At 48.2% G+C, this 14,690-nt stretch overlaps 1 pseudogene, besides 5 other annotated features; it reads right to left on the minus strand.

Moving 5' to 3' along the window:
* Positions 150–199: an enhancer, noted in NCBI's record as "active region_10863". NCBI's record gives its function as "activates an Ori minimal core promoter by ATAC-STARR-seq in GM12878 lymphoblastoid cells {active_cell/tissue: GM12878}" and the evidence as "EXISTENCE:reporter gene assay evidence [ECO:0000049][PMID:35858748]".
* Positions 210–289: an enhancer, noted in NCBI's record as "active region_10864". NCBI's record gives its function as "activates an Ori minimal core promoter by ATAC-STARR-seq in GM12878 lymphoblastoid cells {active_cell/tissue: GM12878}" and the evidence as "EXISTENCE:reporter gene assay evidence [ECO:0000049][PMID:35858748]".
* On the minus strand, positions 1,392–1,503 carry LOC124903811 (uncharacterized; annotated as a pseudogene).
* Positions 5,783–5,832: an enhancer, noted in NCBI's record as "active region_10865". NCBI's record gives its function as "activates an Ori minimal core promoter by ATAC-STARR-seq in GM12878 lymphoblastoid cells {active_cell/tissue: GM12878}" and the evidence as "EXISTENCE:reporter gene assay evidence [ECO:0000049][PMID:35858748]".
* Positions 5,999–6,499: an enhancer, noted in NCBI's record as "H3K27ac hESC enhancer chr16:56984965-56985465 (GRCh37/hg19 assembly coordinates)". NCBI's record gives its function as "activates a minimal SCP1, AML or CMV promoter by ChIP-STARR-seq in naive H9 embryonic stem cells {active_cell/tissue: H9 hESC(naive)}" and the evidence as "EXISTENCE:reporter gene assay evidence [ECO:0000049][PMID:30033119]".
* Positions 6,203–6,497: a silencer, noted in NCBI's record as "tiled region #9411; HepG2 Repressive DNase unmatched - State 4:PromP, and K562 Repressive DNase unmatched - State 12:CtcfO". NCBI's record gives its function as "represses a minimal TATA promoter and a strong SV40 promoter by Sharpr-MPRA in HepG2 and K562 cells {active_cell/tissue: HepG2 | K562}" and the evidence as "EXISTENCE:reporter gene assay evidence [ECO:0000049][PMID:27701403]".

Here is a 14,690-nt window from a genome sequence, read left to right on the forward strand (position 1 = left end):
AGAACAGAACTATCAGAAGGCAATGAATATTCACAAATTGTGAAGAGATAGTTTGCTTCAAGGAAGAAATGACTTGTAACTAGAGTAGGTATGAAATGATGGGGGAAAAATGATGAGGTATGAAATGACTCACCTTCTCTCCAGCTCAAGGTAAGAAGGGTGGCAGCAGGAGTAAAAGCTCAGCCACAGGACGTGCTCTTCCTGCCAAACAGCTGGATTCTGCACATGCTTGGGAATGAGGTCCTGCTGGTTTAGGAAAACAAACATTAAGAATTCCCAAAGTCTTGGGTGGAAAAGCCTGTTGCTTTTCAGAGGCAAGGCCATCACCATTTGGCAAGGGGCCCAAGGCCCCAGGCAGCTGTGGTACCATCTGTTTCTGAAGGAGTGGGGATTTTACCCCCTGAAATGTCAGTTTGTGGCTTAAACTCTGGGTTCTACAGGCCCAAAATAAATAGTGCCAGGAAGGTGCCCCTGAACAGAGCTAACCAGGGTTCAGATTGGCACCCCATCCCCACTGGGGCAAGCAGGACTCTTAGCAATTAAGGCCTAAGACGGCTGACAGGTGGGACATGGCAGAAATTCAGTGCTTCCACCACAGCTACTCAATGTGCCACAATCATGGGCCACACACCACTCTGAATACTTAGAAAATTATTGGTTTGGGCCTTTATTATTAAGTAGCAAGTAAATAACTGAAAAAGCCCCAGATTTCAGCTCTGGCTATAGCAGCTTTCTAAGTCTGTGTTTTTAAGGTGCAATTTCTTGAATCCTAGTTCTGTAGAAGAAACACTCTACCCCCCCGCCCCCCCCACCCCCCCCCCCCACCCCTAAAAAATGAGCTTCATGATCAAGTACATTTTGGAACCCTCAGGCTGATCCAAGTTCATAGATTTCTTCACTGCAGGCCTTCTGGGTCCTTTAATATGCCTGAAGCTGGGGCTTTCCCTTCCTGAGAATGGCCCAGGACTATCCATGTGCCTCATTTTGGGAAATTTAGTAATGAGTTACTAAATCAACACCACCTTTGGCATTCTACATAGCAAACATACTTTGTTAGATGTGACATTTTACACACTAACCAATGGAGATAAAATTTTTTAAATTTATTTTTGGCCAGGCACGGTGGCTCATGCCTGTAATACCAGCACTTTGGGAGGCCGAGGCAGGCGGATCACTTGAGGTCAAGAGTTTGAGACCAGCCTGGCCAACGTGGCGAAATCCTTTCTCTACTAAAAATACAAAAATTAGCTGGGCGTCGTCGTGGGCACCTGTAATCCCAGCTACTCGGGAGGCTGAGGGAGGAGAATTGCTTGAACCCGGGAGGGGGAGGTTGCAGTGAGCCAAGACCACACCACTGCACTCCAGCCTGGGCGTCAGAGTGAGATTCTGTCTCAAAAAATAAATAAATGATTTCTTATTTATTTTTTTTTACCAGTGCTCTACATGTTCAGAGAAACTTCTCTGGTAACCAACCACAGAAATGATCCCTGAAAGTATAGTCTTAGGAGATAAATATTCTTTACATAGCCAGGAGGGAGATGAGAAGCCATACCTGTCTACAGTCTGACTGACAAAGGAGGAGGCTCCAGGTCCCCTGGAGAATCCCAGGTTTTATGTAATAATTACTTGGTCCTTTTCAAAGTACTTGGATGAGTGTAGGATAGTCTCTTTGTCTTATCAGCTAGTCCTGCAATCTAGGTGTTCTCCCATTTTGTAGAGGCTTGCAGAGATGAGAGACCTGTCCAAGGTCTCAAACCCCTAACTGGCAGTTCTGAGACTAGAAATACTCCCTCTCAGGAGTGGACCTCCTCTACAATTTTTTTTAGCAGTCCTCATGTGCCAAATATGGCGTGGGGGCCAGGAGACAGAATGAGGCATAGGTTGGGCGTGGCCCCTCCCCTCTTGGGTCTTGTAGTCGGCTGTGGGTGGCAAGTACAGCAGTGATGGCAGACAGGTGTGATGAGTTCAAGGACAGGGAAATAACATCCACAGCCCCATCCCAGTACTCCTGTGCAGCAATGGAAGTGTGCCACCGACACAGGGGCTACAGGGTGAGCAGGAGTGACAGGCGAAGAGAGGAAGAGAGCTCTGCCTGTGCAAAGGCGGAGGGAACATGGTGTGGGAGGAACTGAAGAGAATTCCACATAAGTATGAAGAGGGTAGGGAGATTGAGACTGGAGAAAAGGGGAAGCCGGGGCTCCCCTTTTGACCATGCAACGCACTGGAAGCACAGCACTCCCAGCCTCAGGGTCCTCCATGATTGGAGACTGACAGTGAATTCAGAGGAGCTTGTGGAAGTCACCCAGTCAGGTCCAGAAATCCTGCAGTGCATCCCTTCCGTTACCCCTGTCATAACTGGGAGAAGACACCACCCACATGACGCAGGGGAGAGTGCAGGCATGAGCTAGCACCCATATTGTCCCCTGCATCTGTCCTTGGCTATGTTTTACACCCCCCACCCCTTAGAACATTGTAGTCAAACTAGGATGTATTAAATTGGCTGGTTGCTCCCAACTACACTGGACAAAGTGGAGAAAAAAAAAAAAGGAGGAGCTCAAGGTTTCAAATTCCCAGCTCAAGCTCTGCATAAAAACTGCTGTGACTTCCTTAGAAGAGACCCCTATCTCCTGTAGCTGCAGGGTTGAGATTTCTGAGCTCAAGTGATCTGCCTGCCTCACCCTCCCAAAGTGCTGGGATTACAGTTGTGAGCCACCCTGCCTGGCCAGGGCTGAGATTTGTGAAAAGGAAACCCAAAGTCTCATCTTGCATGTGGCTGAATTATGTCGCAAATCCAATTCCCAAATTCCAGCCTTGCAGGGTGTCTTCAGTTAAAGTGAGGACAACTTGAAAATCGGAATGGGAACATAAGGGAAGATTCCAGTAAAGCTGGGGACATTGAATCCCTAAATTCTGTCATGTTCCCTGCCAGTAGAAACAGCCCATCTACCCCTCCCTGGGTCCAGCTGTGTGGACACAGATTGGCAGCGAGTGTGCAGGTGTTATTTCCCTACCCTTGTAATCATCACACTTTCTTTTTCTTTTTCTTTCTTATTTTTTTGAGTCAGAGTCTTGTGCTGCTGCCCAGGCTGGAGTACAGTGGTGCAATCTCAGCTCACTGCAACCTCCGCCTCCTGGGTTCAAGCAATTCTCCTGCCTCAGCCTCCCGAGTAGCTGGGACTACAGGCGCGCACCACCACACCCAGCTAATTTTTTTGTATTTTTAGTAGAGACAGGGTTTCACCCCCAATAGCCAGGTTGGTCTCGAACTCCTGACCTCAAGAGATTCACCCACCTCGGCCTCCCAAAGTGCTGGGATTACAGGCGTAAGCCACTGTGCCTGACCTCATCACAATTTCTTAGCCCTTTGAGAAACCCTGTGGCCTTCCCTGAGGTAGCTGTCTTGCGGGGCACTTCTGATTCTTCTTGGATCCTATGCCCTTCCCCTCTTTGCTGGACCTGTAACTAGACTCAAGTCCCACCAGGCCCCAGAGAGAAAGGTACACACTGTGACCCATGAAGAGGTGTGTTACACACCAAAAGAACTGCATGATTTTTCCAATTTATACAGACAAATCCAAGAGACATGTATGGGAGTAGATTTTAAGGTTGTGAGATCACGGAAGGACCATAGTGTTGGATCTGGCTGAACGTAATGATATGGGCCCACTAAGCAGAGATTCTTAACTCAGTGCTTTAGCATGAGGGGTTAGAAAGGGCTCTAACTTGGTTGGTTGGTTGTTTGGTTCGTTGGTTGGTTGGCTGGCTGAAACATGGACCAAAAGGTAGGTGGCCGACACCGTTCCTTATTTTGTTATTAATATATTTGTATATTCATATACAAACTTGTATGCTATGATATCTAATACATATTACAGATATAAAACAAATCTTTAGGCCAGGCATGGTGGCTCACTCCTGTAATCCCAGCACTTCGGGAGGCTGAAGCAGGTGGATCACGAGGTCAGGAGTTCAAGACCAGCCTGGCCAACAGAGTGAAATCCCATATCTACTAAAAATACAAAAATTAGCCGGTCACGGTGTCAGGCACCTGTAATCCCAGCTACTCAAGAGGCTGAGGCAGGAGAATTGCTTGAACCCGGAAGGTGGAGGTTGCAGTGAGCTGAGACCCCATCACTGCACTCCAGCCTGGGTGACAGAGCAAGACTCCGTCTCAAAAAAAAAAAAAATCTTTTGTTTCTTTCCTCTCTCATTCCTTTATCACCTAACATAAGATGGATCATCACAGCATTGAAGTGACAGGATGTCAAGCAGAAGAGTAAACATCACCCAAGGACGTTGCAGCCTCTCTGGGGAAAGGATTGGCATGTTTTCTGTTGTATGCAGGATGGTTGAGTCATGTTAGGTGGAAGTATGGCTTTGTTACTGTCTTTATCTGGAGATTAAGTGTGGTTTAAGGAGATGCATACAGGTGCCAGGTTGACAAAGAGAGTACTGTAATGATTAGTTTTATGTGTGAACTTGGCTAGGCCCAGTTATGTAAACACGAATCTAGGCCGGGCTTTGGTGGCTCACGCCTGTAATCCCAGCAATTTGGGAGGCTGAGGCAGGCGGATCACCTGAGGTCAGGAGTTTGAGACCAGCCTGGCAAACATGGTGAAACCCCATCTCTACCAAAAATACAAAAATTAGCCTGGCGTGGTGGTGTGTGCCTGTAGTCTCAGCTACTCGGGAGGCTGAGGCAGGAGAATCGCTTGAACCTGGGAGGTGGATGCTGCAGTGAGTGGAGATCATGCCACTGCACTCCAGCCTGGGCAACAGAGTGAGACTGTATCGCAAAAAAACATAAAAGAAAAAACAACAAAAACCCCGTGAATCTAGGTGTTACTATGAAGGTATTTTGCAGATGTGATTAACCTGCATGGGCCTCATCTAATTATCTGAAAGACCTTAATTGCAAAACTCAGGGTTCCCCAAGGACAGAGCAATTAAGTCTATGGCCTGCAGCCTCAGCTTCCGCCTGAGTTTCCAGCCCACCATCCTACCCTACAGCTTCAGACGCGTCTAGCCAGCCCCTACAACTGTGTAGGACAATTTCTAGAAGTTAGTTAATGAATACGCTATTGGATCTGTTTCTCTGGAGGAACCCTGACTGACACAGGGGCCGGCTCTGGAGGTTGTGGGGTCCAGTTCCTTATCCCTGTGTAGTGTATTGGCCAGTTGGGGTGGGAATTGCTTCCAGGCAGGCTGTGTCATTTGTTCAGGCAGGGTCCCCTCCCCTTGGCTCTGCCTGAGAGCAAAGGCAGGTGGGGGTGGCCCTGGGGAGGGCCTGAAGCTTTGCTCTGTGCCTCCTAAAGCTTTCCCACTCCAGGGACCAGGCCAGGCAGGCTGGCAGGAAGAGGCAGGCTTCATCTGGAAGGATGTCTCCAGGGTGGAAATGATGAGATTTAAATGGTGTAGGGACCCGGAGGGTGGGGTGGGACAGCACCACTGACCCAGCTGCAGAGTTGGACCCTCTGAAGCCCATTGTGTACATGAGAATCTGTGTGCCTGATTGCGTAGGTGCCTATACATGGATAGGCTGCGAATCTGTGTGCACACAGCTGGCTGGAGAGCACATGAGTAGGTATATGTACCACATTGTCAGCACTCACCCATTAGCTCCTGGGGACTCACTTGCTGCAGGTGATCCCTGTCCTCGTGGGCTCTACACCCTGGCAGGTCAACACAGACTACAAAGAAACAAGCGGACATAAAATGACAAGGGCTAGGACAAAAAGCATGGAAAGGAGAGGGGATAACGTGGCAGGGGACATTTTAGAATGCAGTGGTTTCGACACCAGGAGGAGGAGTGGTTAGACAGTGGTCGGGGAGGGCCTCTGAAGAGGTGACACCTGAATGATGAGCTGGAGCAAACCAAGCAAAGATTGGAGGAAGAGCCTCCAAGCAGAAAGAACTGCAAGGACAAAGGCCCTGGGGCAGGAGCGGGTACGTGTGTCCTGTATGTGTGTGTCCTGCACGGTGGCAGGTGTCTGAAGCTGAGCCCAGAGGAGCTGTGGAGATCAGGCCCAGAAGTGGAGCCACAGCACGTAGGGCCAGAGACCTGCAGTAAGAAATGGGATGTGGTCGAGATGGGATGGGAGCCACCGCAGCACCATGGGGCGGGAGCAGCAGAGTCTGATGTTGTGTACTTCAGGGAGCTGGAGTTCTATGAAGGAAGAGCGAGGAGGCATGTGGGAGGAAGAACAGCCCCACTGAGGCCTGCAGGGAAGGCAGCAGACCCCAGGTCAGAGCATGAAGGTAGAGGGGAGGTTCCAAGAAGTGGGTTGGGGAATAAGCACTGGATGGCTGATGACAGAGGGCAGGGTGGAGGATGCGGGGCCAGGGAGGGCTGCACAGAGTCCTGGGAGGGTGAGCGGTGGCCCTGGCTGGCTAGGAGGCGCCACCTTGAGGTGCTACTGGAGGATACGCCGCAGGGAAGGTGGATGGTCTCTTCTGATGACAACCTTCTTGCTGGCATTAGACTGAAAGGGGAGGTGATTTGTAGGGATGAGGCCAGAGGGGTTGTCCCCAGGGAAGGGCACCAGATGTGGGGCAGGAGAGCTGGTGTGAGTTGCAGCCGTGGGGCCTAGAGGAAGTCACAGCACCCCACTGAATTCTCACTTCCTCATCATAACAGACCCTGTGACATATAAAACCTGCTCTGCCCACCGCACAGGGATCACAAGGCTGGAGTGAAATAATGGAGCACTTCCCCAGAGTGGCACACGGGACCCAGGGACGGGTGTGCAAAACCGTTCTAGGTGGAAGAACACTTTTTTTTTCTTTTTCTTTTTCTTTCTTTTCCTTTTTTTTTTTTTTTTTTTTGAGATGGAGTCTCCGTCTGTTGCCCAGGCTGGAGTGCAGTGGTGCAATCTTGGCCCACTGTAGTCCCTGGCTCCCAGGTTCAAGTAATTCTCCTGCCTCAGCCTTCTGAGTAGCTGGGACTACAGGCACCCACCACAACATCTAGCTAATTTTTGTATTTTTAGTAGAGACAGGGTTTTACCATGTTGACCAGACTGGTCTTGAACTCCTGACGTCAAGGGATCCATCTGCCTTGGCCTACCAAAGTAGCTGGGATTACAAGCATGAGCCACCGTGCAAAGCCAAAAACACTTGATTATAATAGCATGCTATTTTTCAATGTATTAGATAAATGTATTTTCCATTTAAAGTGGGGATATAAAGCTCCCCTTTAAAATCCACATAAGTAAAAAAGTCAGTCTGTTTAAAAGGTTAAGTAAATAACAGTCTAGGGCAGATGCACAAAAGACAGCATCATGACCGTGGTTCCTGAAGGATTAAGGTTGCAGGAAACACTGAATGCTAAAAGCTTTGTGAATGTATAGTCCATGAAAATGTCTTTTAAAAAATGAGGTGCATACCAAGATGTTTGAGTGTGTGTATTTGGGGTAGGTGCTGTGGGCATACGGGTGTACCTGTGTGTGTCTCACAAGCAGGTGTAGCTGGGTGCTTGTGTGTATGTGGTGTGTGTGTATCTGTGCACACGTGCATATCTGTGCCCACATATCCATGCACACGTCCTCATAAGGCTCTCTGCGGCCAGGTGCGGTGGCTCACGCCTGTAATCCCAACACTTTGGGAGGCCGAGGCGGGGGGATCACGAAGTCTGAAGTTCGAGACCAGCCTGGCCAAGATGGTGAAACCCCATCTCTACTGAAAATACAAAAAATTAAGACAGTGAGTGTTGATCGTGAAGAAGGGAAGATGAATGTGGGGATTAGGTGGGAGGAATGGGGTGCTGTCAAGATGAAAATAAACTTAGGGTGGAGAGGCTGGGGCAAAAGAGAGGCCCAACAGTATGATTTGCCCCAGTGCGGGGACTTTGTGCCTGGTGATTTGAGGTGGCAGGGCTTCTACCCAGGCCTGATGGGAGCTGGGATTAAAAGCAGCTGTGACCTAAGGCAGGCCATTGCTCTGTGGCCTACTCCCCTAACTCTTTTGCAGAAAGTCCCAGGCTAAGAGATGGGGGATGGTTGTAATGACCCCTCCCAGAAATCCTGGCTCTGTCCTGCAGAGGTGGGGCCCGGGGATCAAGACGCCTCTAGGTTCAAGAGAGAGGCAGAATGAGGGGTCAGCCAGCTGGGGCAGGAAGGCTTCACTCTAGGCTGCAAGGAGAGACCTTTCGCCTTGACTGGAAGGACGTGAGGAGCCTGTGGCCTCCTGTTTGCAACCAAGGGCTGAGGAAGGGGCCGGGCATTCCTGCTGTAGGTCAATGACCTGGAGAAACACATGCTTGAGGACAGAGCTCAGATCATTGTCCCAGCGCAAACCTTGGTGGGATGTAAGGTTTGGAGCTTCTTAAGTTCCAAGAGGCAGTCTCATGCAGTTCAAGGAGGGCTGGAGAAGCCTGGTCTGCTCATGGGAGTCAATTGTTAAATTTTCAGGAATTTTGTGAGCCAATTATTGAACACAGCTATTATTAAAAACAAAATTATAGGCTGGGCGTGATGGCTCATGTCTGTAATCCCAGCACTTTGGGAGGCCAAGGCGGTGGATCACTTGAGGTCAGGAGTTCAAGACCAGCCTAGCCAACATAGCAAAATCCTGTCTCTACTAAAAATACAAAAACATTAGTCGGGTGTGGTGGCTCACATCTGTAACTCCAGCTACTTGTGAGGCTGAGGCATGAGAATTGCTTGAGCCCAGGAGGCAGAGGTTGCAATGGGCTGAGACCACGCCATTGCACTCCAGCCTGGGCAACAGAGGGAGATTGTGTCTTTCAAAATAATAAAATAAAATAAAATAAAATAATAGGCTGGGTGCCGTGACTCACGCTTGTAATCTCAGCACTTTGGGAGACCAAGGCTGGAAGATCGCTTGAGCCCAGAAGTTGGAGATCAGCCTGGGGAACACAGGGAGACCCTGGTCTGTACAAAAAATAAAAACAAAATTAGCCAGGCATGGTGGCACATCCCTGTGGTCCCAGTTACTTAGGAGGCTGAGGTGAACAAAGTTAACACTCAAAACTCATCACTTGTGAATTACTTTGCTACAGTGCACTATTATTATTATTTATTTATTTTTACTGGGCAGCCTCTTGAGCCTAAGTAGGCCCAGAGACTGTCCAGCATACTATTATTGATGCTTTGTGGTTATTGATATTGATTGGATCCGTATAGTGGAAATGGCTATACTGTAGAATTGTGTGCTACTGTGTATTTCTTACCAATTCTGCATTCAGTGGCATCACATTCATAGCTTGAAGTTGGCCATGGTGGGAGGTAAATATGTGTGGTATAAATTGGCAAAGACTACAGATTGGGGTTCCTGTCTGGCCCCCCAAGAGCTGGTTGTTAAACTTTTACCAGCACACCACTGAGTTGGAGTCTGGAAAGCAGGCTTCGTCCAGGTTCTGCCCTGCTAGCTCAACTGGCTCTCAAAGCTTTGCTCCACCAACTGGCCTATGGCTGCTTCCACTCACCAATTCTCCCTTTTGCCCTCTAAGGCCACCTCTTCCAGGAAGTTTCCCCTGATTTCTTTGCCTGGACTTCTAAAATTCTTTCTTTGCCAGGCGTGGTGGCTCACACCTGTAATCCCAGCACTTTGGGAGGACGAGGTGGGCAGATCACTTGAGGTCAGGAGATAGAGACCAGCCTGGCCAACACGGCGAAACCCCGTCTCTACTAAAAATACAAAGATTAGCTGGACATGGTGACGCGCACCTGTAATCCCAGCTACTCAGGTGGCTGAGGCAGGAGAATCACTTGAACCCGGGAGGCAGAGGTTGCAGTGAGCCAAGATCACACCATTGCACTCCAGCCTGGGCAACAGAGGGAGACTCCATCTCAAAATAAATAAATAATTAATTCTTTCTTACCTCTTCCGTTCATATTCATACAGAATAATCTCCACATCTCGAAATTCTTAACTGATTAGCTAGTTCTTGCTATTAATTAAATACGTGATGCATATGGCCAAGCTTGGATGGATGGAATCCCTGTATTGGTAAGGTGGGAATTTTTCTTTTCTTTTTTTTTTTTTTGAGACCAAGTCTCACTCTGTCACCCATGCTGGAGTGCAATGGTGTGATCTTGGCTCACCACAACCTCTGCCTCCCAGGTTCAAGCCATTCTCCTGCCTCAGCCTTCCTAGTAGCTGGGATTACAGGCACACACCACCAAGCCCAGCTAATTTTTGTATTTTTAGTAGTGACAGGGTTTTGCCATGTTCGCCAGGCTGGTCTGGAACTCCTGGCCTCAAGTGATCTGCCCACCTCAGCCTCCCAAAGTGCTGGGATCACAGGTGTGAGCCACCACGCCCACCTAGGGTGGGAATTTTCCACCTGGGTTCTGGGCTCAGCTCTGCCACAGATTCCTCTCTCTGGGCTTATCCTCTGAAGGCGAGATTTTGGCATGACTGAGTGGATGGAGGAAGAACTTGGGGTCAGCGGGCTGTCACCCTGCTCTGCCGTGGAACCGACTCAACAACAGGGCCACAACAGGCCTTGTTGGACATGGAAGCAAATGAGAAAATTAGTAATACTGATTCAGTGTTTACTTAAGGTTCTGATACTTTGTCCATTATAGACCTTTTGCATTAATTTTGATTTTTTATTATATAAAATATATATATAACATAAAATTGATCATTTTAGCCATTCGAAGTGTACAGTTTTGTGGCGTTTAATACATTCACATTATTATACAACCCATCTCCAGAACTCTTTTCACCTTGAAAAACTGAAACTCTATTTCCATTAAATATGAACTCACTCCCCGTTCTCTCTTCCTCCAGCCTCTGGTGACCTCCATTCTATTATTATTATTATTATTATTATTATTAGAGAGAGTGTCCCTCTGTTGTCCATGCTGGAGTGCAGTGATGCAATCACAGCTCACTGTAGCCTCAAACTCCTGGGCTCAAGGGATCTTCCCACTTCAGCCTCCTGAGTAGCTGAGATTATAGGCATACGCCACCACACTCTGCTAATTCACTTATTTTTTGGAAAGATGGGGTCTTGCTGCATGGTCCAAGCCAGACTTACATTCCTGGGCTCAAGCGATCCTCCCACCTCAACCTCCCAAAACATTGAGATTACAGGTCTGAGCCACCGCACCCTGCCCATTCTACTTCCTGGCTCTTAAATATGACTACTCTAGATACCTCATATAAGTGGAATCATACAGTATTTGTCTTTGTAACTGGTTCATTTTACTTGGCATAATGTCCTGAAGGTTCATCCTCATCGTAGTGTGTGTCAGAATGCCCTTCCTTTTAAAGGATGAATAATATTCCCTTGTGTGGATATATCACATGTTGTTTATCCACTCATCATTGATGGATGCCTGTGTTGCTTCCACTTTTGGCTGCTATGGAAAATGCTGCTATGAATACGGGTGTGCAAATATTCATTTGAGTCCATAATTTTGATTGTTTTTTCTTTTTGAGACAGAGTCTCACACTGCTGTCCAGGCTACAGTTCAGTGGCGCAATCTTGGCTCATTGCAACCTCCACTTCCCGGGTTGAAGTCATTCTCCTGCCTTAGCCTCCCGAGTAGCTGGGATTACAGGTATCCGCCATCACACCTGGCCAATTTTTGTATTTTTAGTAGAGACAGGGTTTCACCATGTTGGAGACTGGTCTCAAATTCCTGGCCTCAAATGATCCACCCACCTCGGTCTCCCAAAGTGCTGGGATTACAGTGAGCCACCATGCCGAGTCCATAATTTTGATTTTTAAATGGTGGCTACTAAGTTTTTCTGGCACCCCTTAAATTTTGTCAGGCACTTGCCTTACCCTAGTCCTGGCCCCAGTTTGGGTTGTCACAGCAAGGTGGAAGTGTACTGAAAAGCTCGTGTTTTATCTTTATACGTTTACATGGGGCCCCAAAAAGGGGGAAAACCCACTTTGATAGGGATATGACACAGGGACGCAGGAGCCAACCGAAAGAGCCCCCAGTGGCCAAAGATGGAGCAACTTGAGCAACAAAATAAATAAAGTAAGCATCAAATTATAGCCCAAAGTATAAAATAAGTGTCTATGAGTCTATACTCACATAGATGATTTAATACATTCATATTAATAAATGGGAGAGCACTTTGAGAGGCCAAGGTGGGCAGATCACTTGAGCCCAGGAGTCTGAGACCAGATTAGGCACTGTGATGAAACCCTGTCTCTACCAAAAACACAAAAATTAGCTGGGCATGGTGGGGCATGCCTATAGTTCCAGTTACTTGGGAGGCTGGGGAGGGAGGATTGCTTGAGCCTGGGAGACGGAGGTTGCAGTGAGCTGTGATCTCACCACTGCACTCCAGCCTGGGCAACAGAGTGAGGCCCTGTCTCAAAATAAATAAATATATAAATAAGATAAATATATAAATAAAAATAAAAATAAACGGGAAAGAAGAGACAAATCTTCTGTGCAGGAGAATCCCAAATGAATTCTGTAGATTCTCCACCCTACAGGAGGGCACACACAACTCCAGGCTGCCTTAGTGACCTTCTTCCAAAGAGTACAGTACGGGAAGGGGGAGCGGGGAGAATTAACTTCACAGTGGAGAAATCTGACAAATACGACCTCCGCCAAGTGATCGAGGTCACATCAGCTGTCATGAATTATGTTGATAGTGGGCATCCTGGATATGATGGGATGAAATGGCACTTTACCTCCACGACCCTTTTCACAACAGCCCGTAATGCCAGTATAAGGAAAACATCAGACCAGGAGTGGTGGCTCACGCTTGTAATCCGAGCACTTTGGGAGGCCAAGGTGGGTGGATCACAGGTCAGGAGTTTGAGACCAGCCTGGACAACATGGTGAAATCCTGTCTCTACTAAAAATACACAAACTAGCCAGGCACGGTGGCGGGTGCCTGTAATCCCAGCTACTTGGGAGGCTGAGGCAGAAGAACCGCTTGAACCCGGGAGGCGGAGGTTGCAGTGAGCTGAGATCGCGCCACTGCACTCCAGCCAGGTTGACAGAGTGAGACTCCATCTCAAAAAAAAAAAAAAAAAAAGAAAAGAAAAGAAAAAGAGAAAAGAAAAACATCAGACAGATCCCAACAGAAGGGCATCCTACAGTATACGTGACCACTGCTCCTCAAACCTGTCAAGACTATCAGAAACAAGAGAAACTGTCACAGCTACAAGGAGATGTGACAATTAATTGTGATTTTTTTTTTTGAGATGTGGTCTCGCTTTGTCACCCAGGCTGCAGTACAGTGGCACAATCACAGCTCACTGCAGCCTCGAACTCTGGGGCTCAAGTGATCCTCCCATCCATCTCAGCCTCCCAAGTAGCTGGGGCTATATGCGTGCACCACCACACCCAGCTAATTTTTGTATTTTTTTAGAGACGGTATTTCGCCATGTTGCCCAGGCTGGTCTCGAACTCCTGGATTCAAGCAATCCACCTAACTTGGCCTCCCAAAGTGCTGGGATTACAGGCATGAGCCACCATGCCTTGCCAAATGTGATGTATTCTTGATGGGATCCTGGAAGAGGAAAAAGATATTAGGTAAAAACTAAGGACATCTGAATAACCATGGATTTCAGTAATGTATCCACACTGATTCATTAATTGTAACAAATATACCGTATGAATGCAAGATGTTCATAATGAGGCCGGGGCGGTGGCTCATGCCTGTAATTCCAGCACTTTGGGAGGCTGAGGCGGAAGGATCTCTTGAGCTCAGGAGTTCGAGACCAGCCTGGGTAACACAGTGAGATCCCCATCTCTACAAAAAATTTTTTGAAATTAGCCAGGTGTGGTGGTGGCACATGCCTGTAGCCCCAGCTACTCAGAAGACTGAGACAGGAGGATTGCTTGAGCCGGGAGGTTGAGGCTGCAGTAAGCCAGGATCACGCCACTACACTGCAGTCTGAGCAACAGAGCGACACCCTGTCTCAATGATAATAATAACAATAATAATAATAATGGAAACTCAGTATGGGTTGTATATGGGAAACTTGCTCAGTTTCTCTGAAAATCTAAAATTCTTCTGAAAATCAAAGTCTGCTTAAAAATTCACATGGGGTTTGCATTCTCCTCCATGACAAGGTTTTGCAGGTTATGATTACAGAGGCTGGAGAGGGTGCAGGTTATCCCGCCCCTCCCTGTCCCAGGGATTCCCTTCCCCAGGAGCTGTGTCTCCCCTGTGAGAGAGGGTGAGCTTCCATGACCCCAAGCCTCTTGCCCTCTGACTCCGGTATTCTTAGAAGCTGGGACCAGCACTGAGCCCAAATTCCCGAAGCGCTCAAATACTGGCTTTCTGTCCCTATGTGACCTGGAGCTTGTAGTTTAACTTCTCTCTGCCTCACTGTTTGACCTATAAAGCAGGGCAATCAAGGCATCCCGGGGGTGGCTATGAAGAGTGAATGAGATAGCAGACAACCCAGATGCCTACCGACAGGTGAAGGGACCAACACAGTGCGGTATAGGCGTATAAGGGAATGGAGTATGGACACAGCCTACAACACAGACAAACCTTGAAGACATTCCTCTAAGGGACATAGGCCAGGCATGGTGGCTCACACCTGTAATCCTAGCATTCTGGGAGGCCGAGGCGGGCAGATCACTTGAGGTCAGGAGTTGAGACCAGCCTGGCCAACATGGCAAAATCCCGCCTCTACTAAAAATACAAACATTAGCTGGGTGTGGTGGTAGGTACCTGTAATCCTGGATACTCGGGAGACTGAGGCAAGAGAGTTGCTGGAACCCGGGAGG

Source organism: Homo sapiens, chromosome 16 (genome assembly GCF_000001405.40).
Source record: "Homo sapiens chromosome 16, GRCh38.p14 Primary Assembly".
Taxonomy (NCBI): domain Eukaryota; kingdom Metazoa; phylum Chordata; class Mammalia; order Primates; family Hominidae; genus Homo; species Homo sapiens.